Raw genomic sequence first — 22085 nt, 5'->3', positions numbered from 1 at the left:
GTAAGCCAGGTGAGAGATAAGGCAGCTTGGACCAGAATCACAGCAGTAGAAGTGATGATAAGTGGCCAAACTCTGGATATGTTTTGAAAGTAAAGCTGAGAGCATGAAAAACTGAGGCGTCATGAGTGATGCCAACCCTACATGAATTTTGCTGTTTCTACCCCCGGACCGTCAGTAAGCCTGTAAGCATCTGTACCAGGCTCTAGCACAGAATAGGTTCTCAATAAATATTTAATAGATGAAGGAATGGGCTCTGCCAGAGAAGAAAATACTTTGGGAGGAGAGATTTGGGGTATGAAGGGAAGCTAGAGCTCAGGTTTGGCCGTGCTAAGTTTGAGATCATTATTAGCATCAAATGAATAGGCAGTATGATTTCTAGGTTAGGGGTGTAGTGAAAGGTTAGACTTCTATAAATTTGGGAATCATCAGCATTGGCAGTATTGAGATGGCATTAAAAGCCACGAGATTAGATGAGATCACCAAGAGAGTTAATGCAAAAGAAATGATAAGATGTTGAAGGACTGAGACCTGGGACACTTCAACATTTAGTTGTTGTAGAGATGAGAAAGCATCAGCAAAGACAACAGAGGCAGTCAGAAGCATGGTAGGAGACAAAGTGGGTAAGTGTGGTATTCTGGAAGCCTAATGATCAACTCTGTTAATGCTGTTCAAGAGCCAAATAAGATGAAGACTAAGAGCTGCCACTGGATTTAGCAGTGTAAAGGGGCCTGGAGATTTTGACAAAAGCAATATGGGTGGAGGGATGGGAGCAAAAGCCTGATTAGGGTAGGCTTTACACAGAAGGAAAAAGACAGGGGGAGTGGGGAAGAGGAAATGGGAAGAGAGGAATTGGAGGCAGCAATCACAGACAACTCTTGAGTTTCGGTATAAAATCAAGGAGATACAGTAAGGAAGCAGTAGAATCAAGACAGAGGTTTTTTTTGTTTACTCTAAGTTTTATAGGCCAATGAGAAAGATCTAAGCTGATGAGAAAGATCTAGTAGAAAGGAAAAAAACTGATGATGCCGAACAAAGGAGAATTGTTGAAGAAGTGCCCTTCAGTAGGTGAGAAGCAATACGATCGAGTGCACACTTAGATCTTTGCTAGATTCATCCACAGTAATGAAAGAGAGCAGAGTTTGGATGCATATGCTGGTGGGTGGTAGATGTGTTGGTGGGAACTTGTAGAAATTCTCTTCTGATTGTTTTCATTTTCTCAGGGAAATAGGAAACAAGGTTATCAGCCTAGCCTAGGGATGAAGTTTCGAAGAGAGAAAGAAGGGTATGAAATAGTTATCTAGGAGAGTAGAAATTTGAATGGATCAGGGAAGTGGAACATGCTTCTCAGGCCATATAAAAGGCACTACTTAGGTTTATGATTATTAATTTATATTATGTTCTACAGTTTATAATTGTGTTATTTCATCTGAAGTCTACCTGGGGTAGGACAAAAATTATTGGCTCCAACTTGTAGATGAGAAAATTGATTCTCTGAAAGATGCTGGTCCTGCCAAGTTCACCTAACTGGTTAGCAGGGAGCAGTGTGACCCAGTTCCTCTGACACTTGGTTTAGTTATTTCACTCTCTGTGTTGGCCGGGGGCTATGAGTACTATGACAGCAGAGGTAAAAGATTACTCAGGGTGAGAGTTGCCCGAGGAAGCTTCATGGAGGAAGTAAAGGGACTAGAAGGAGCCAGGACTTCCAAGTGAAGACCAACAGAGAATGCCTGCCAGGTTGATCAGGAACAGTGAAAAAAAAACTTGTAAGGAGTGTTTGATAGACAGTGAATAAACCAATTTGGTTGCTATAGAGGGCAGAATTCCAGACAGGCGTCTTTGAGGCTGAATCCAGCCTGCAGATATGATTTATTTGCACTGCACTTTACTTTTTGTTTTGAGCCAACATTTAAAAACTCAGGAAATTTTGCCTAAAAATTCAGATTTATAACCTCTGTTGAATAAATAGAACATCTGGCAACCTTCAGCCCAAATTTCTTCATAGCAACACCCAGCTCTCGCTTTTAAATAGGCCACATGTTCTCCCATTTGCCACAGTCCATACTACTCCTTACTGTTTATATAGGACCCATATTTTTCACTTCTATTATCTTCCCAGCCCCTCTGAAGTCTACCTGGGGTAGGACTTGGCATTTGAGTCTTACGCCTGTTCTATGAATTCTATGGCTTAAAAAGTAGATTGTAGTCAAACTCGAGTTCCAAGCTAAGGAATTTGGTCTTCATTCTATAGGAAATAGAGAGTCATTAATACTTTTTTTTTTTTTTTTTTTGAGACAGAGTCTCACTTTGTTGCCCAGGCTGGAGTACAGTAGTGTGATCTCAGCTCACTGCAACCTCTGCCTCCTGGGTTCAAATGATCTTCCTGCCTCAACCTCCCGAGTAGCTGGGATTACAGGCGCCCACCATCATGCCTGGCTAATTTTTGTATTTTTAGTAGAGACGGGGTTTCAACATGTTGGCCAGGCTGGTCTCAAACTCCTGACCTCAAGAGATCTACCTGCCTCAGCCTCCCAAAGTTCTGGGATTACAGGCATGAGCCACCACACCCGGCCCCATTAATAATTTTTGGGGAGAGAAGCCAAGGCTTAAAACAGCTCTTTCAAAATGATTCTGAAAAAATATTCTGATTTTTATCTGAGGCTGGGAATGAGGATAGGAAAGTAAAGGCAAGGGGTTCAAACCTCATTGCCTGGTGCTATGGTCTGGATGTATCTCCCCCAAATTCTTATAAAACTTAATCACCAATATGATAGTATTAAGAGGTGGGGCCTTTAGGAAGTGATTAAGTCATGAGGACACAACCCTTGTGAATAGATTAGCAACCTTATAAAAGAGGTTGGAGGAAGCACTGTAGGCCCTTTTGCACTTATGTCTTCCACTATGCGAGGACAGAGTGTTCATTCCCTCAGGAAGAAGCAGAGTTCAAGGCACCATCTTGGAAGCAGAGACCTGGCCCTCACCAGACACCTAACCTACTAGTGCCTTAATCTTGGACTTCCAAGCCTCCTTGGAATAGCATAAATAGAATAAATTTCTATTCTTTATAAATTACCTGGTCTCAGGTATTTTGTTAGCTGCACAAACAGAGTAAAACACCTGGGGAAATGGGAGCTAGGAGCTGGGCACAGGCTGTGGAATTGGTGGGCTTGGTCCGTATGGCTTCTACACATTAAGATCAGGGTTGGCAGGTTTGGGCAGTGCAGGGGTGAACAGGGAACCAAACTCGGACTGGAAATGCATGGTCATCAGTGAGGTTAGGTTAGTTGGCTCAGAGCCTGGAGGAGTTCCTTGAAGTAGAGATATAGGAGAAGGGGGCCTCGAATAGGGTCCTATAAGCAGGAAAGTTACCAACAAAGAGGTCAAGCTGGTTCTGGCCATGTAGTAAAGGCTGGACCAGGAACATGGCTGTGGCAATGGAAACAGTGGGAGTGATGTAAGAGCCATTTGAAAGAAAGATTCAATAGGAACTTTGTGACTAATTGAAAGGGGATCTGAAGAAGGAAGGAAAAAACAACACTAAGGCTTCTAACTCAGGGGTCAAGAAAATAGTGGTGCCATTAACAGACATAGAAAAGTGAAGAAGAGAATGAAGTTTTTAAGTATATGAGACATAAGGTCCCTTTAGAATGCCCAGGAGGCATTTGGAAGGAGAGTTTCTAGAGGAGTCTAGGCTGAAAGTAAATATTAGGATATCATCTGCATAGAGGGAAGAGATGAAGATGGAGGAAAGGCAGAGGGAGGGAAGTAGGGAAAAGAGCTGAAGAGTAAGGACTGAATCCTCAGGCGTATTTATATTTAGGGAGCCCATGAAAGTATCAGAGCCATAATAGATGAATTCAGCTCCATGCTGATCAAGGGGAAAGACATGGTGCTAAGTTAGATCAAACTCTGCAAAGACTAAAGAGAATGAGGACTGAGAAACAAAGGCAGAGCCAGAGGAAGGTGTTTGCTAGAGAGAAGAGCTACAATTTATTCATTTGACAACTGTTTATTGAGAACTTAGCCCTTATCCAGGCCCCGAACAAACTGAGGTGGGCAGAATGGAGATCTAGCCTCAGGGATCTTACATTCTACCGGAGCACACAGACATTATACAAGTGTCTATTGTGGTTAACTCTATGAAGAAAAATGAAGCAGGGCAAGTGGGTAGAGAGGGACTGGAGGATTCAGAAAGGCCTCTCTGAGGAGGTGACATTTAAAAAGAACTCTAAAGGAAGTGAGGTTGCTGGCCATGCAAATATCTGGGGGAGAGCATTCCAGGCAGAAGGGAAAGCAAGGGCAAGGCTTGAGTCTGGCACATGCTCAGTGGGTGTGAAAACAGCAGAAAGGCCAGAGTGGCTGGAGAGTAAGGGTAAAGGGGGACACAGGGGCCAGATCATTGAAGACCACGTGGGTCACACTAAGGACTTCAGATGTTAACCTAAGTATGAGAGGCGTATTGGAGGGCTGACACCAGGCAGTGATATGGTGTTATTTATGCTTTAACAGAACTGGATGTTTGTTTCTGACTGTCTGTGACTTGGAGGGGGAACAGGGAGAGGGCATGAGTACAAGCAGGCAGCTAAAAGGCTCTGGAAGTAGTTTAGATGAGAGATGGCAGTTTGGAGCAGGAGGAGTGGTGGTTTGGAGCAGGAGAAGTAGCCAGATGATGCTAGGGGATGAAGCCATCAGAAAGTGCGATCTTGCAGATCCTATAAAGAGGGGGAGGAGAGAAACTTCCATGAAAGAGTAAAATCTACACTCAGGGACTGTTTAGAAGTTCTGAGATGCAAAGAAAGCAAGGTGCCCTAGCCTTCATTTCAATCACTTTTGTTTGTTTTTGTTTTGCAGATCCCCATGGAATGGCTGTTAATATTAGTGGAAGGTAAATTGGCCAATGTTCAAAAAAAGCTCTCTCAGGAATGGTGATTGTATGCCTTTGGTTTACAGCAGGAAAACGCTGACCTCTCCCGATCTCAGGTATAGGTCTAGAGTGGAGGGCTTCTTATCTTATCCTAAGAGTTTTAAGAATAACACCTCATGACACCCTCCTTCTTAGCCCTGACTCCATGGTTTCTTGGACTCTGGCAGCTGAGGTGTTGGGGAACCCCTGTGGCCCATTACTCTCTTGTCCCATCCCCTCTAGGTCACTTAGTCCATCTGGCTCTCTAGTCTGCACACTGGCACTAAGTCAAAGTTCTCGAAGTACTGCTTGGATCGTGTCAGGCCTCTTCTCAAAAACCTTTAGGAACCTTTCTTATTTACCAAGTTGAAGTAAGTGCTGCTTCTGTTTGGCCCCAGCCTACCTTTGGATCCTTTGGCCTCCTCTTTTTTCCAAGACCTCGTCAAGATGTCACTGCTTGCTTTTCTCCAAACACATATCCTCTTTTGCTACCTCTGTGTCTTTGCTCCTGCTGTGCCCCAATCCTTCCCTGCCTGGTAAAAATCTACTTACCATTCAAAACCCATTTCTAATACCACTTTTGCCATGAAGTGTTTTGAATGTGATCGTCCTCCTTGAAATCCTTTCACAACGTATGCTATTCACTATTCTCAGGGTACTTGCTAGTTTTTTGGGGTTTGGGTTATCTGTGTGCTTTGTCTGATTCTCTCCTCTCTCCCCACATTTGACTGATGCTTCAAGGGCACAACTCCTTTCTCCTCTTTGTATCAACTGAGGTCCTTAGCACAAGGCATTGAATATAACAGGCAGTCAACAAATACTGAACTGGATTGCTTTTCAGACGAGACAAACAAGAATTCTGAAAGAAGTTAGAATGTGGGAAGAGAGACTTGTGAGCAAGCGTTCACAAATGTTGGAATGTACTGTGAGGATAAGCAGAGGAGCAGCCAGTAGGATGAGTGCAGGCGTGGTAGGCAGCCAATCATGTGGGCCTGGCAGTGAAGGAGCTGCAGGCCTGAAGCCAGGACTTCAAGGCCACCCTCCCACATGTGGCCTGCTGCCTGGACAAGCCACCCTAAGAGTCCCACAGACTGTATGAGTTATAGGTGACTTGAGACAATTCACTCTCCTCCTATAAGCTCTTTCAGGTGGCTTGGGAAGCCCCTGTCACCAGTCATTTTTATATGACAGCTGCATGGGCGGAACAGCTGGCCCCCTCCACTCTATTAATGTGTGTGTCTACTCCTAGCTATGAAGGCCTCAGTCCACCATGCCAGTGCCCAGCTTCCTCTCCTTTGTTTATTCTGATTCTCTTTCACTGTTTATCACCATGAAATTACCCCAAATCTGTGATCTGCACCTAACCATCAAAATAACTTGGCTCAATCGACTCGAAATTCCCAAACAGCCATTTCGGCTGTTAGAGCGTGAAAGGACCTCAACAGTTACTGAATTCAGCTGCCCCCAACTAGGCTGCAAAGCAGAATCAGCCGTGTGACTTCTCTATGCCCCACATCTGGAAATCCTGATTAGTAGATTGTGGTGGGCCCCTGTTTTAGTCCATTTGTGTTGCTGTAAATGAATACTTGAGGCTGGGCAATTTATAAAGAAGAGAAGTTTATTTGGCTCACGGTTCTGCAGGCTGTACAAGAAGCATGGTACCAGCATCTGCTTCTGGTGAGGGCTTCAGCTCACCATGGGACAAGCTCTTGGTAGAAGGGGAAGAGGACCTGGTGTATACAGAGGTCACATAGCCAGAGAGGAAGCAATCAAGTGTCATGGTAACTGATAGAGCAAGAATTCACTCATTACCTCAACAACTGGCACCAAGCCATTCATGAAGGATCGGCCCCCATGACCCAGACACCTCCCGTTAGGCCCTACCTCTAATATTAGGGGTTGAATTTCAACAAGATGTTTGGAGGGTCAAATATCTAAACCACGGCAGGCCCGGAATCTGAATTTTAACATGCCTCCTACGTGGTTCTCACAGAGCCTGTGTACCATGATGTAATCCCCTCACTCATCTCATAGATGAGGGCTCTGAGACAGAGCATTTGGTTGCCTGGTTCAAGGTCAGGCTGCTGGTGTTAATAACAACCAACACTGCCTTCACACTTCACAGTGTACATTATTTCATGTGATTCTCCAGTAACCTGCAAAGCTGGTATTAAAGGATCATCCCCATTTTACAGAGGAAGAAAGGAGGCTTCCAAGCAGGCAAGTGAGTTGTTGCAGGTCTCACTGTTAATGAACGAACAAGAACTCATGTTCAGATTTCATAAGCCTCAGTCCTGCCATCTTTTCACTAAAAAATAAGGGTTCTGAGCCCAAGTAGGTGGTGGTGGATGGGGCTGGGTGAGGAGGACATTTCAAACCAAATTCCATGCGGTTCTGGCTCCCTATTGCTTGCTGTCACCTGAAAGAAATGAGTAGTATTCAAAGGCATACATCAACTTAATGTGAGGTTTACAAGCTTTATAATGATTGATTGGAATTTTTAAACAGACTTTTAATTATGAAAGTGTTCAGGTACACAAAGTAAGAACAATTAGAATAATCCTATTTGCCATAAAATTATTCTATTCCTTTTTGTCTTATTGGGGCAAGAATAATCCTGTTTACCCTAATAGAAAATCCTTATTTATCCAACATCCAGATTCAATAATGATCACAATTTTGCTACATTTGCTTTATCTGGCCCCCTTTATTATTTTTCTTTGCTGAAGTTCTTAAATTGAAGTATGTTAAAACAAGCCCCAGGCATTGTGTCATTTCTTCTCTTCATACCTCAAGATGCATCTTGTAGCAACACCCGACCTGTGTTTAAAGGAGTGTGACATTGCAGGCAGAGCCCCCTCCACCCACCCTATACCAGGAGCATAGCATATCTGCCTGGGTGCCCTGGCAGGCACCTGTGTGTTGTACTCTGGCACCAGGTGTGGGTTCTCAATCATCCTGGCTGGAAAACACATTTTTGGCTCCTTCTAAACCCTCTGACCATTCAGGTGTTGATTTAATTCAGTTCCAGCTTGTCAGTTGCTGCTGAGTGCCGCCTTGCCTGCTTTAATGACTGTCAGGAAAGGAGGTAGAGAAGCTGCCTCCAGGAGAGTTACTCAATTCCTGATTCACCAGTAGAACTGTAACTAATTCCCTCTCCATGGTAAGATGCAGGACATCTATTCCTGCTGCCATAGACCTGAGGGACAATCACAGATTGAGGAATCAGAGTGTCTAGCATCCATCGGGCAGAAAAGAGTGGTTATTATTTTTGGCAAGCACATGTGAAATATCTGCCTGATGCTGGGGTATTCACCAGTCACATTAAGATGAAAGGTGCTCTAATGCCACCTCTGCAGAAGTAGGGAGGGATGATGAGAGGAACCTCGTATATTTCACTTTGTTCAGGCTGTCCTCCCGCTACATACCACCAGCTGTTCCCATCAGTACTACATCTATAAAATCAAAAGCGAGAGCCCTAAAATCTGGAGTTAAACAGGTCTACAGCTTTTATCCTGGCCTTTGGCACTGCTTCAACCAAAGCCGTGTGTGGACTTCCCTTCGTCTGCCTGGCCAGCACCCCTACCTCTCTGCCAACCCTAGTGAGGCATTCTTAGGAGGCTCTAGAATGACAGTCCACAGAGATTCTTCAGCATTCATTGTGCTGACACACCATCCAACACAGGCTGGACACAGGAACCACAACTTTGGGTTAAGTTACCCACACTTCTATTTCTGGGATACTGCAGCATATATGTGTCCTAAAATGCTTTTGGAAAACAGGAGTAGCCAAGCTCAACACATTTTTACCAACACCTACTAGTTTCCACTTTTAATTCAAGTAACCAATACTTGATTATTTAGTAGCTACATGAGGACTGCAGCCCTGGATTCTGCCACCAACATGCTGATACCTGACACCTATTGACTCACCCAATTAAATTCTTCTCTCTCAGGATCACATTCCTGTTTTTATGTGGGTGAACAGGGACTGAGACAATCAGTGCTGTAGTTATTTTTCAGCTCAGAAGGAAATTGTTGTCATTTGACACCTAGATGCATAACCCAAATTGAAAATAAACTATATATTATCATTATTTATAGAGTATAGGCTATGTCTTTATGATGCAGGAACCACCACTAAAAAAATAATTCAGTTGGAACAATCAGTGAATTTTTGTAAAGGAATATTTGGCTGGGGTTACCACCATGTCATGACAAATGACTGGCACCACCTGTTACATCTACCTTATCTGAATCAGGGTAGAGGCTAGGAAGAGGCCAAATGAGGTGCCTAGGACACAAAATTAAAGAAGGCATCTACTCTCTGGACATGCAACTGTTGACCCTATGCTTGCACAACCCTGAGAGTGAGTGCCTCCTTAAATTTTGCACCCTGGGCTTTTTACTTGCCTCACCCTAGTCTCAGCCATGCTGTGGACTGGGGTCAGCTGAGGGCATACTAATCGCCTTGTTAAGTTACAGAGTCTCCCAGTCCCAATTTGAGAGATTCAAATTCAGTATATCTGGGGTGAGGTCCATGAATCATTTAAGATAAGCTTCCTCAGGTAATCCTGATAGGCAGCCAGGTTTAAGATCTACTGATGAAGTGTTTAGAATATCACAATTAGAAGATGACCTTCCCTGAAATTTAGTGTTACTAGCTCCATGTAAAAGTATTGGGTTCAGCTCTGAGTTTTCTCCATGTAAAAGGTACTTGGAAATTTGACTCTGTATAAAGATTTTGTTCAGCTGCAAGCAACATAAATTTCTACTAACAATGGCTTAAACAAGTAGGGTTTTTCTTATAACTAGAAGTCTGAGGGTAGGTTACTGCTAGTATTGGGCAGCATCGCTGTGATTTTCTTGGACTTTCCACAAGTGTGTTTTGCTCATGATCCCAAAATGGCAGCTGAGGCTTCAGGGACTACCTACCCCCAAGACTGTAAGGAAAGAAGAAGCAGAAGTGCATGATGTGTGTTCCCTTGTACCAAGAAAGCAAAAATTTTCCCAGAAACCACGTTTTCTCAGTAGAACTCTGCTGGGTGGCATTGGCTTGAACTGGGTCACACAGCCACCTGTTGTTGAAGGAAGGCTGGGAAATCAGGGAACAGGCTTATCATAATGGACTTAGACTAGTGCTACTCAAACTCTAGCAAGCATTGAAATCCCCTGGAGGGCTTGTTAAAACACTGATTGCTGGGCTCCACCCCCCAGAGATGCTGATTCAGTAGGCCTGGGTTTGGACCTAAGAATTTGTATTATTTAAATATCTCAGTTGATGCGGATGCTTCCGGACTTTAAAAAACACTTTGAGAGTCACTGACCTCCACCAATGGCTCTCAACCCTGGTGGTGCATTAAAAACATTTGGAGAGCATTTTTAAAGATACCGTTTCCTGGTCCCACCCCCAGATGTTCTGATTTAATTTGTTGGTGGAGTCCAGGCTTCCGTATAGTCAAAGCTCTCCAGGTGATTCTAATGGTAGCAGAACTGGAAACCACAGTTTTAGGCCAGTCATGATTTCTTATCTGGGACTATTATCAAGGTTCTATTAGCAAACAGAAGGAGAAGTGGGTAATAGGCTGCAGCAGGTTCAGATAGTGGTTTCTGAACTTGATGCACTTTTGAAGCACTTGAGAATCTTTTTAAAAAATCTCCACTTTAGTACATACTCCAGACACTTAAATCAGAATCTCTGGGGGTGGGACACAGGCATCAGTAGTTTTTGAAGCTCCTCAGATGATTCTAATGTGCAAACAAGTCTGGGAACCCCTAGGTTAAAAGAAGATTGCTGCAAAGCTGATTATATTTGAAAACTATTTAAAAGGAAGGTGTGAAGGGATGTTATTAGTATTTGGATTGTAAAAGAGAAACCTGAAGATTAATGTAATTATGTAAGTACCAAGATAATTTTATAAAAGAATGGTGTTGTCCCTCTGAAGAACAGCGAGGAGGAAATGGGATCAACCTGGTCAGAATCCTTGGGTTAGATGTAAAAAGAAATTTCCTAGCTGCAAATTGTTGCAATGAAATGTGGTATGGTAGGAATGTGGTTGTGCAATCCTGTCATTGAAGAGCTATAAAAATAGTATAGATTCTCACCTGTTTAGAATGTTTTAATGTCATTCTTTCTGAAGGTGAAGAGGTGAATGAAATGACCTATCTAGCTTTCGTCTTTGAGAATTTCCTCTTTTACTCCTCTTCTCATTTCACATCTCAACTTAAAAGGCAGACCTCTGCATTAGCAATTCAAAGAAAACATAACCTTTGCCCACCTATCTGCTTGAATGGATAAAATATCTGACAGCTAGTAATAGGTTGAGATGCCACTAGCTCAAACTGCTTAGATCTCTAAAAGGCTATTTTGAGCTTCCGGATGACAAATATACTGCCAAATAGAGAGGGCCTTCCACATTTGATTTGAATAGGTTCCTGTGTTTAAAATGTAAATGCTGTACTTAAGGATGATTCACTACTGTGTCTGGGTCCTGCTACATGCGTGCACACACAGAAAACCAAAATAGCTATTTTCATGCCACATACAAATAACATGTGTATAAATATAGCTACAACTAAAATGTGTTCTTTGTACATGAAAATGTCACTGGCTTTTGTGAGTAGGACATATCGTCTGAGTTGTCTTTGTCTTTTGCGATACCGATAATGAATCTTCCCTGGTCACATGTAACTTTATTACCAGTAACATTCACTAGTTCAACTGCTGAGATGTCAATGGCACAGGAAAAAATAGGAGCCCATCAATGGAGCAAAACAACACTCAGTGGATCTTATCCACACTACTTGTATCTTAGGTTGAAGATCCTGTGATAGAGTTAAGGAAAAGATTTAGGAGTGTTTCCCCCCCTTTAGTCCAAACTTTTCCTGCAAATCAGAATCATTATGGGGGGCTTTTAAATACCCTAATGTCTAGGTTCTATTTCATACCAACTAAGTCAGAATGATTGGGTGTGGAAGTCAGGCATCATTAGTTTGTAAGATCCCAGTTGATTCTAATGTGCAGCAGAGTTTGAGAGCCACTGCCTTAGCCACCTTCATTATGAGATCTAAAAACCTCTTATAGAAAGAATTTCTCTTAGGTCTCATGGTCAAATGTAGATATAAGGATTAGGTAAATTTTCCTCCCTGCTGAGTGTGACAGAGATTAATTATTCTTGAAGGTTTATTCCTCCTAATTCCTCCATCATAAGAGAATGTCTAATTTTTAGCTGCCTACGTAGCCACACAGAATAAAGACCACTTTTCCCAGCCTTCCTTGCAGGAGGGCATGGCTGTATGTTTCAATTCTGACCCATGGGATTAAGTGGAAGTGGTGCATATTCCTGACAATCATTAAAGAGAAGGTATGTATTCTTCCACCCTTCCACCTTCTTGCTAGCTAGAATGCAGATGTAGATGAAGCTCCAACAGGCAATTGGTCACTGAGATGACTTTAGAAGAATGGAAGCCACACAAAACAAAGAAAGTAAAAGGAGTCTTGTTCCCCACACCAAGCTCGATACCAGCTCTAGAATGACTATTCTGGGCTTCTTAATGGGGGAGAAAAAGAAACTAGTTTATAGCACTATTTCTGTTCATTATAGCTGAACCTTATTCTAACAGACTCAATGGTTCTCAAAATTTGGTATATATCAGAAATATCTACAAAGTGAATGAAGCATATTCAAGTAGGTGATTCTGATACCTAACCAAGTTTGAAAACAACTGTACTAGATATCCTTAGGAGGTAGAGAGCACACATGATGAGGGTAAAACTTAGAATTCAAAAAGTAATGAGTGATTAGAATCATTTGCAAAAGTGAATCTACTAAATAAAATATTCAGCAGTACAGTGTAGTGGTTAAAGACTTTGGTTCAGGAGACAAACAGAACTAAGTTTAAATCCTGGCATTGCCACTTACCAGCCATAAGTAACTAAACTTCTAAACTGTTTTCCTCATTTATAAAATGTCAGGTTCTAACTGAGGTCCAAGGGGAGTCAGTGGGCAAGTGGTGGGTAGCTGCAAAAACACTCAAGGAATCGTAGACAGTTTTGACGTGGCTTTACTCTCTCTCTCTGGGCATGAGCAAGCTATATGTACAGCGTTAGCAGGGTAATTATACATTTTACAGACAACAGTAGCTTCGAGCTAAGCACAAGATCACGTGGGTGATACCTAATGCACCTCACATGGTGTGGTTACATAATGTGTGGGGTTGTGCACCTGCACTCCAAACCAGATGAGTCATGCTGCGCTGGAAGGGCACTTCAGCCTACTCCTGACTAAAGCTTAGCCATTTCCCTTACACTCTACCCCCTAGGCTGAGAGTGCCCTCTGGGCAGGGACATGTGCCTGTAGGGCAGAGCCCTGCATCCATAACAATAACAATAACAACAATACAGAGAGCAACAGCTCACTACTAGGATCCCAGCTATGCTACTTATGACTATTAGGGCCCAGAGTAGGCCAGAGCCTAGGGATGCCCACTATTTCTGCAGGGGGTCATCAGTAAGGCTCTGGACCACCTTACTCTCCCATGAGACCTGTTGCAGAGCTACTGTTATGTTCTGCTGATTGTCAGGGATAAAGGTACAACATTGTGTTCCTTAAAAGGCACAGGTGCCTCCTTGGGAAGCTATTACTATGTCTAAGGCCATTCGATTTTGCCACAAAACCTTTCTGATCTGATCAACCTCATCTGTTAACAGGAGGGCCACTCAGATGTAATTCAGAGCCCGAGTGCTGTGCTCTGCAAGAGCAGTAACTTGTGCTTCTACAGTTATGACACCTGCTCCAGGGATAGTCATTGCCAACCATCAGGGGGCTTGTTGCACTCACAAAAACTGAGAGTGTAGTGCCTCCCATTTATGCGGGTATCTGGGCAATGTGGGGAAAACACATGGCAGGTGGCATGGGGGTGGCAGGTACATAAGGCCACCCCCAGGTACAATGTCCAGTCCAGTGTGCTGGTAGGTAAGGCCACCCTGTGTCCCCACAGATCCATAAACTCCCCGGGGGCACAACATCTATCGGGGACCAACCTTGGTGGGGCCACTTGTTCCACCATACCTTCGATATGGTGACATGTGTTATGTTTACACAGACTGTGATGGGTAGGCATCCCACAGTGGTGTTACCCCAATGTTGCTCTATGCATCATGGCACCTGGGCTGGGGGTACTACATGTTCCCCCATTAGGCAGCCCCACCCATTATAAACACTATGGGCCAGCCAGGGGGTGGGTGCACCATGGGCCTTGTGGCAGCCTTTGTCCAAAGCTTGCTGCATTGCATTCGAGGCATCAGCCATGGGGCCCCAAGTCTCCAACCATGTCCAGTTCACTGAAGACACGGGGTGTATGTGCCAAGGCAAGCAGTCCGCAGCTGCTGCTGGAAGGGTGGTACAGATCAAAGAGTTGGAAACATTGGTCACTTCAGCGTAGGTGTGGGCCCAGTCCACAATGCAGTTGGAGCATGTTAACCTACAGCCAAAATGATAGAGCAGGCACAGGTACTAACAGAGGTAAATCACGTCCCTCAGGCAAAATACAAGCTAAACTTTCATCCCTGGATAACAACGTGGTCACCATGAGCTTTTGCCCTGGGAGATGGTACCATACTTTCTCAGCTCCCCATGGTTCCTTTGAGTCCCGTCTCCATGCAAAAGTCACGGGGGAGCTCATAACATGCCACACAGACAGTACATATGTCCCCTGAGGAGGGTTCCTTCCCTGGCCATTCCCCTATGAACAGTCAACCGTGGGGACTATGCATTGAACACCCAAGGAATGACAAGCAAGTCATACTGTAGGCCCTCCCCCAAGGGAGCTACAATGGCAACCACCACAGTGGGGGCTTGGAGGGTCCATGGCCACAGCCAGGTTTTCTGTTCCCTCGCCTTCAGGGGTGTTGGGGCAAGCAACATTCATCACGGCAGGTTACCGTTCATCCCCATACCTGGTCAGGGGAGGTCATCCTTGGTATGTATCTGTAACTGAATGAGGGTGGTGGCCTGGTGTAACAAAGCCTCCACTGGGGCCAGGCCACCTTTCTGTGGCTATTCATTCAAGGTTTGGTGCATCAGGTCCAGCCTGGAACTCCAGCCCCGCAAAGACGAGGGTGTGACAGGCAAGCGTAACCCATTCTTCAAGAGCCTGTTACATCGCTCAATCATATCTGCAGCTTGCAGGTTGTATGACACATGGAATCCCCACTTTATGTCCATTTCTTGTGCCCATTCTTATACCTGTTTTCCAGTGAAATGTGCTCCCCTATCAATCTCAATGGCCAGAGGGTGACGATACAGGGCACCTAAGTGTTGCAGAGGCCAGATGGTGTTCTGTTGGTTGGCCATCCTGCAAGGGTAGGTGAACAACAGGCTTGCAGCCGTGTCCACAGCTGTAGTGTATGCATATACCCTTGTAGTCTACTTGCCACCTGGTCAAGGGCACTCGCCCTATCGTCACTTATGTAACACTGGGCAGCTGCCTCTGTTTAAGGTATGCCTGAGTACATGCCCGACATTTCTGACAAGCCTCACAAATATCTTGTACGGGCAGATACAGACCCCAACACTTATTGACATGTTGCATCAGTTTACCCCCCACACGTCCCAGTTTCCAGTGTAGCCACAAAGCCACATCTTGTGGAGGTGCTGAATCTAACCATCAGACCTTGGCCAAGGCATCTGCTTCATCCTTGCCAGGGGTGGCCAAAGGCATATGGCCTGACACGTGATAAATAATTACCTCTTTCTGATGATCCATTTCCCAGAGGTCTTGCCACGTGGCTTGGCCCCAAATGGGTGAGTGGCCAACTAGCCACTTCTGTATTTGCCAGGTAGTTACCACAAGGTTAAGCCTCGAGAGACCACCCAGCTATTGGTACAGATTACCATAGGTGTCACCTCCTTTGTGATCACCATCCATGCTGCTCTAAGTTCAGCCCATTGGCTATTTTGTTCACACCCGGTTTCAACCATATGGTGTCAGTACAAGGTTGGACTGCAACGGCAGTCCAGGCTGCAGTAGCACCTCAGTTAGACCCATCTGTTTACCATGCCCCATCAGGAATTGAGGGATGCCCTTCCTTAAATGGTGAAGGCTCAGGGTCTAGGGCTGCCTCAGGCCCCATGGCCTTATCTTGCATTAGGACTACAGGTCCCAAGACCTCTTGCAACTCTGCTGCTAAGGGGTTTGTACTCAGTGTACCCTGCTGCTCCACGTAGGCACCCCACTTTGCCAAAGTGGATGTCTGCACCGTCCCAGTCTGGGGGGTCGTTACCCATGAATGCACCCATCTCACTATTGGGTAAGTTATCCACACGACGACTGCAGCCCATCCTGTCACACTCTCACAGCTTGAAGGGCAGCATATATAGCTGCTAGCGTTTCTCTATCAGGGAATACTGGAGCTCATCTCCCTTCCATAGTTGGGACCAAAAGCCTACTGGCACTTGCAAGCACTCTATGCACTGCCACAGGCCCCCCAGCCGAAACCATCTGTGGTCACATGCACATCCAGCTCAAATGGGTGCCCCAAGTCAACTACCCATAGGGCTTGTGCCTGCTGAATAGCCAGCTTGGCTGCCAGGAAGGCGGTCTCAGCCGCATCATCCCAATCCCAGGGAGCTCCCTTCTTTGTTAACCAATGCAACAATTTTATCATTTGAGCTAAAAAGGACACAAATGCCCGCTGATATCCCAGGAGCCCCACAAAAATCTGCAGCTTCTTCACTGTGGTGGGCCAGGGATATGCCTGAATCTTATCAATCATAGCCTCTGGGATGGCCTTTGTCTTACCTGACCAGATAACTCCCAAGAATTTGGCAGCTAATCCAGGCCCTTGGACCTTGGATTCATTGATGGCCCAACCGTATGCTGCTACATGTTGCTGCAAGAGGGGTGCCACCACTTCTAAATCTGCAAGAGAATCAGAGGTTAACATGATATCATCAATATAATGGAATAGGTGGACCCCTTCTGGACATTGCCAGGCAGCTAAATCTGTTGCAACTAGACCAGGACATATGGTGGGGCTATGCACATAGCCCTGCAGCAACACTGTGAAAGTCCATTGTTGCCTATCCCACATGAAGGCAAACTGTTCCTGGGTCTCTGGAGCAATGTCAATGGAGAAAAATGCATTGGCCAAGTCCACTTCATAGTGATACTGTCCCAGTTCTGTCATCAAACAGTCCATCAAATCCATGATTGACAGTACAGCTGCATGCAAAGGGGGTGTTACTTTATTCAGTTCCCAATAGTCCACCATCATCCAACAAGTTCCATTAGGCTTTCTAACTGGCCACACTGGAGAATTGTAGGGGCTGTGGGTGCCACACACTATCTGCACCTCCTCCAGGTTTTTAATTGTCTCAGTTATCTCTGTATGCCCACCTGGCAAACAGTATTGATGGGTGGAAGTAACCTGTCAGGGTTGTGGCAGGACCTGAGGCTGGTGACATGTATGTCCACGCAGCATCGGCTTCACCACACACACTCAGAGTCTGAATTCCCTGGGTGTGGTTTGTAATGCCAGGCCATGTAAAATGTCCATCCCCAGAATGTATTCTGGTATGGGAGAGAAATACACAGAATATAAATGGGGAGCCAAACAGCAGATGCCAAGGTGCAGAGATACAGGTTTCACTTCCACTGACCAGCCTCCATATCCATCAATGTAAGCAGGTTAGCCCTGAAATTTATTTGGGTTCCCATAAGCAAGGACACAATCTGTGCCAGTATCCACCAGCACCAGCACCCATTGTACACTAGTGGAAGACCAGTGGATCACTAATTCCACACGTGGTCGCTGGTTGTCTGGTGTCCCCCCAAGATGGGCACCTCAGCCAGTTTCCTAATCAAACAGAAAAGGCTCTACATTTCCACCTGGCTGCAGCAAGTAGTCTTTGAGCTGAAGTGCCCGGGTGGGACTGGGTCACGCAGCAATGTCCTTCTCCCCGTTGGGCATTTTCTGGAATTGCTGCTCCAGAGACAATTATCTCCACAAAGTTAAGAGTACTTCATTGGGCTGCTTATTGATTTTCTCTCGGTCAACCCCGGTCAAAATCAAATCTATCCACATCCGTGAGCATGTTACTTGTTGGGGCCCTCTTTTCTCCCATGGGGGGGCCCCTGTGGGCAGAGCATCTTCCCCTTCTTTATGGCATAGACCCCTCAGTCCTGCTGACAGCCTTCTGCTTCCCCAAGAGCTGTCACAGCAATGGTCACTTCATGTATGTGGTGCCCTATGTACAGGGTGAGGACAGCAGCTAGGGAGGCAGAGGCACTCCGGAGCACAGAACCCAACACAAGATCCCTCATGTGGGAGGTGAAACGTTCATCATCTGGCCTCTGGGTATTCAGGTCAAACATAGCCTGCCACATACCCATCTCCCAGATGACTTGCACCAACTCAGCATACAACTCCCATTACTCACTGTTTTCGGTATTTCACTGGTGTTGTTCCACACAGTCTGTATGGCTGCCCATAGCCACTCAATCAGGGTGTGATCACCTTGCCCTGTGCCAGACACCTGCTCACTTGCAAATGCTGTGCTGCATCACTTAGGAACTGTGTGTGTACTTCTCATAGCACAGTCAAAAATGCCCATCCAACTCTGCCGGCAAAAGCTCGCTCCTTCTCGGTGCTCTGCACTTCCAGCTACTTCAGTGCTTTTTTCATGCTCACAGAGGACCCATCTACTACCATTCAGGTTTCCACCAGAGCCTATCTGAGCAGCACAGCTGCCACCGGGTACCATAACCCATGTTGTGGCCAGATGGCTGACCCAGAATCGGTGGGGACCGAAGGCTCACTCACCTCAGGATCCTGTTCATGATGCCAATTGTTAGGTTCTAACTGATGTCTGAGGGGAGTCAGTGGGTGAGTGGTGGGTAGCTGGAAAAACACTCAAGGAATCATAGATAGTTTTGACGTGGCTTTACTCTCTCTCTGGGCACAAGCAAGCCATAGGTACAGCATCAGCAGAGTAATTATACCTTTTACAGACAATATGGCTCTGAGCCAAGCACAAGCTCACATGGGTGATCACCTAATGTGCCTCACATGACATAACTTGCAGGGTTGTGTGCTGGTGCTCCAAACCTGCTGAGTCATGGTGCGACTGAAGGCCACCTCAGCCTACTCCTGACTAAAGTGCAGCCATTTCCCTTATAGCCAGTAACAGTACTTATTCCATCATATATTGTGAGAATGAAATGAGATAATCCAAGATAATGCTTAGTATAGTAACTGCCACATAGTAAAAGTTCAGTAAGTGTTGGCTTGAAAAAAATTAGTGTAGAATGTATGATGTGGATTTTTAATTTCATTTTAGCCCCGACTCTGCTTTGTCTAATATGGTAGCCACTAACCACATGTATCACCCCTTCACACTTACTAGGACAGCTATAATAATAAAAATAATGATGATGATAAATAATTTAAAAATAACAGCTGTTGGCAAGGATGGGGAGAAATTGGAACCTGTATACATTGCTGGTAGGAATGTAAAATGATGTGGCCCCTTCGGAAAACAGTTTGCCAATTCCTCAAAATGTTAAACATAAGTTATTACATGACCCAACAATTCTCCTAGACATATACAAAAAGAAATGAAAACATGTTCACACAAGAACTTGTATACAAGTGTTTATAGCTTCATTATTCATAATAGTCAAAAAGTGGACAAAACCCAAAGGTCTGTCATTTGTTTACCAAAAGGTTATCAAAACACTCTATGTAATGGAATATTATTTGGCAATGAAAAGGAGGTTTGATGCATGCTACAATGTGGATGAACCTTGAAAACATTATGCTAAGTGAAATAAGCCAATCACAAAAGACCACATATTATATGATTCAATTTATATGAAATCCCCAGAATAAAAAATGCCACAGAGACAGAAAGTAGATTAGGGCCGGGGGTAGAAAGAATGGAAATGACTGCTAATACGTATGGCATTTCCTTGTGTAGGAGAAAAAAGTTTCTAAAATTAGATAGTGGCAATGTTTGCACAACTTGAAAACACTAAAAACCATTGAATGCTACATTTTAAATGGTCTAATTTTATGGTATGTGAGTTACATCTCAATAATGCTGTTAAGAACAAAACATAGCCCCTCACCCACTGACCAAAAAAGGAAACTAGTTTTGTAGCAAAAATACGGGAAATATGAAATTTACCAAGCAATGTCATATAAAAGAAAGAACATTGAGAGTCAAGACCTAGATTTTAGGCTTGCAGTCATTACTTACTAACAGCAAGCGCTAGGGCAAGTCTCTTAACCTCTATTTTCAGCCTCCTTATTTATTAAAGAATGAGGGTTCTGGCCAGGCACGGTGGCTCACGCCTGTAATCCCAGAACTTTGGGAGGCCGAGGTGGGCGGATCACGAGGTCAGGAGATCAAGACCATCCTGGCTAACACGATGAAACCTCGTCTCTACTAAAAATACAAAAAATTAGCCAGGCTTGGTGACAGGCGCCTGTAGTCCCAGCTACTCGGGAGGCTGAGGCAAGAGAATGAGGCGGAGCTTGCAGTGAGCCAAGATTGAGCCACTGCACTCCAGCCTGGGCTACAGAGCGAGACTCTGTTTCAAAAAAAAAAGAAAAAAAAGAATGAGGGTTCGTTCCATTTCTAAGATTTGGTGGTCATGATGATTTTCCCTGTTGACCTGATAGAGGAGTAGTTGCATCAGACTCTCAAGGGGGTTCATGATCCAACACAGTTAAGAGCTGCTGCCTCTGGTTTCAGCCTTGTACTCTCTTTAATGGCAAAAATCTGATGAAATACCTGCAGGAGGTTCCCACTTTGCCACGCCAATGAAGCACTTCTTATTGCATTGAACTTCAGGAGCTTCACTGTATATTGTCGGAGGAATCCTGCAAAGAGACAGGGGATTATATTTTGACTCAGTTTTGCTTGAAGCATTCGGTTCAGTGTGTGACCTTCCCTTACAGACCAACATGGGTGTGAAGGAGAGAAATAAAGCACTCAAGTTGCCTTTGCTCAAAATTATCTTCCTTACACCATAGCAAGAACAAAACAAAACAAAACAAAATGATCGGGTACAGACTCATCTCAAGATGAAGAACATCAATGCAGTAAAAGAAGGAACATTTGTTCCAATTCACATCTCACTGATGAGGCAATTGAGAACAGACGGTTTGAATGACTGGCGTGCAGTCCTATCATCAGTATAACTGGTACTAGAACCCTTGTCTGTAGACTCGAATTCCTTGACCTAATGTAATACATTTTCTCAGTTAAATTTCACAGAGTGGGAGAGGGAATATTGAGCCTCATACACACTACAGTTTAGCTTAATTTAATTAAACAATCTGTATAGTAAAGTTATAATACTGAATGAATTAAATCTCAATATACCTTTACCTGAAATAGTGACTTCAATCACATATAAGGATAATGTCTCCAAACTCTTTTCTTGAAAGGTTTGCATGCCTCCTGCCTTAGAACTTGGTCCTCTTTTCTCCTTTAGGCTCACTTTGTTGGTGACCTCATGCTGTCTCATCACTTTTAATACTCATCTGTCTTCACAACCCACATCTGATCCATCAGTCAAGTCCTGTTGACTTGACCTTCAAAATATCCAGAATCCAGCTACTTCTCACCACTGTCATTGCCTCCATACTGGTCCAAGCCACCATCATCTCTCCCTCCTGGATTACTGCCATGGCCCCCAACAATTCCTGTGCTCTGCCCTGGCTTCTCTTAAGTCTGATCCCAATATGCAATGTTTTGAAATGTAAGTCAGATCATATCGCAACTCTGCCTCAAGCTCTTATGACCCCTCATAAAAATCAAAATTCGTAAAGTGGCCTCCAAGCCCTTCCATGATCCTCTCATCTCTCTTGTTCATTCTGTTCCTGCCATGGGGTTTCCTTGCTATTTCTTGAGCAGATCAGGCACATTTACCACAGAGCCTTTGCTCTAACTGGTTCTTCTGCCAAAAAATATGTTCCTGTGGGGAAAAATCTTGAAACATATGCAATTTTGTGGATCCTCATTAAGGAACCACAAATACAAAATTAGATTCCAGGACTTGAAGGGGCCCCTGCAAGTTAGAGACCTTGAAATGTAAAATTTCACTAGCTTCCATAGTAAATGTACCTACTTTCTTCTTTCAAATGTCTGCTTGGCTGACTCATTCCCTCCTT

At 44.5% G+C, this 22085-nt stretch overlaps 1 annotated feature.

Moving 5' to 3' along the window:
- Positions 18984 to 19043: an enhancer, noted in NCBI's record as "active region_20729". NCBI's record gives its function as "activates an Ori minimal core promoter by ATAC-STARR-seq in GM12878 lymphoblastoid cells {active_cell/tissue: GM12878}" and the evidence as "EXISTENCE:reporter gene assay evidence [ECO:0000049][PMID:35858748]".

Source organism: Homo sapiens, chromosome 3, assembly GCF_000001405.40.
Source record: "Homo sapiens chromosome 3, GRCh38.p14 Primary Assembly".
Taxonomy (NCBI): domain Eukaryota; kingdom Metazoa; phylum Chordata; class Mammalia; order Primates; family Hominidae; genus Homo; species Homo sapiens.
This window is presented reverse-complemented; position numbering and strand designations above follow the sequence as displayed.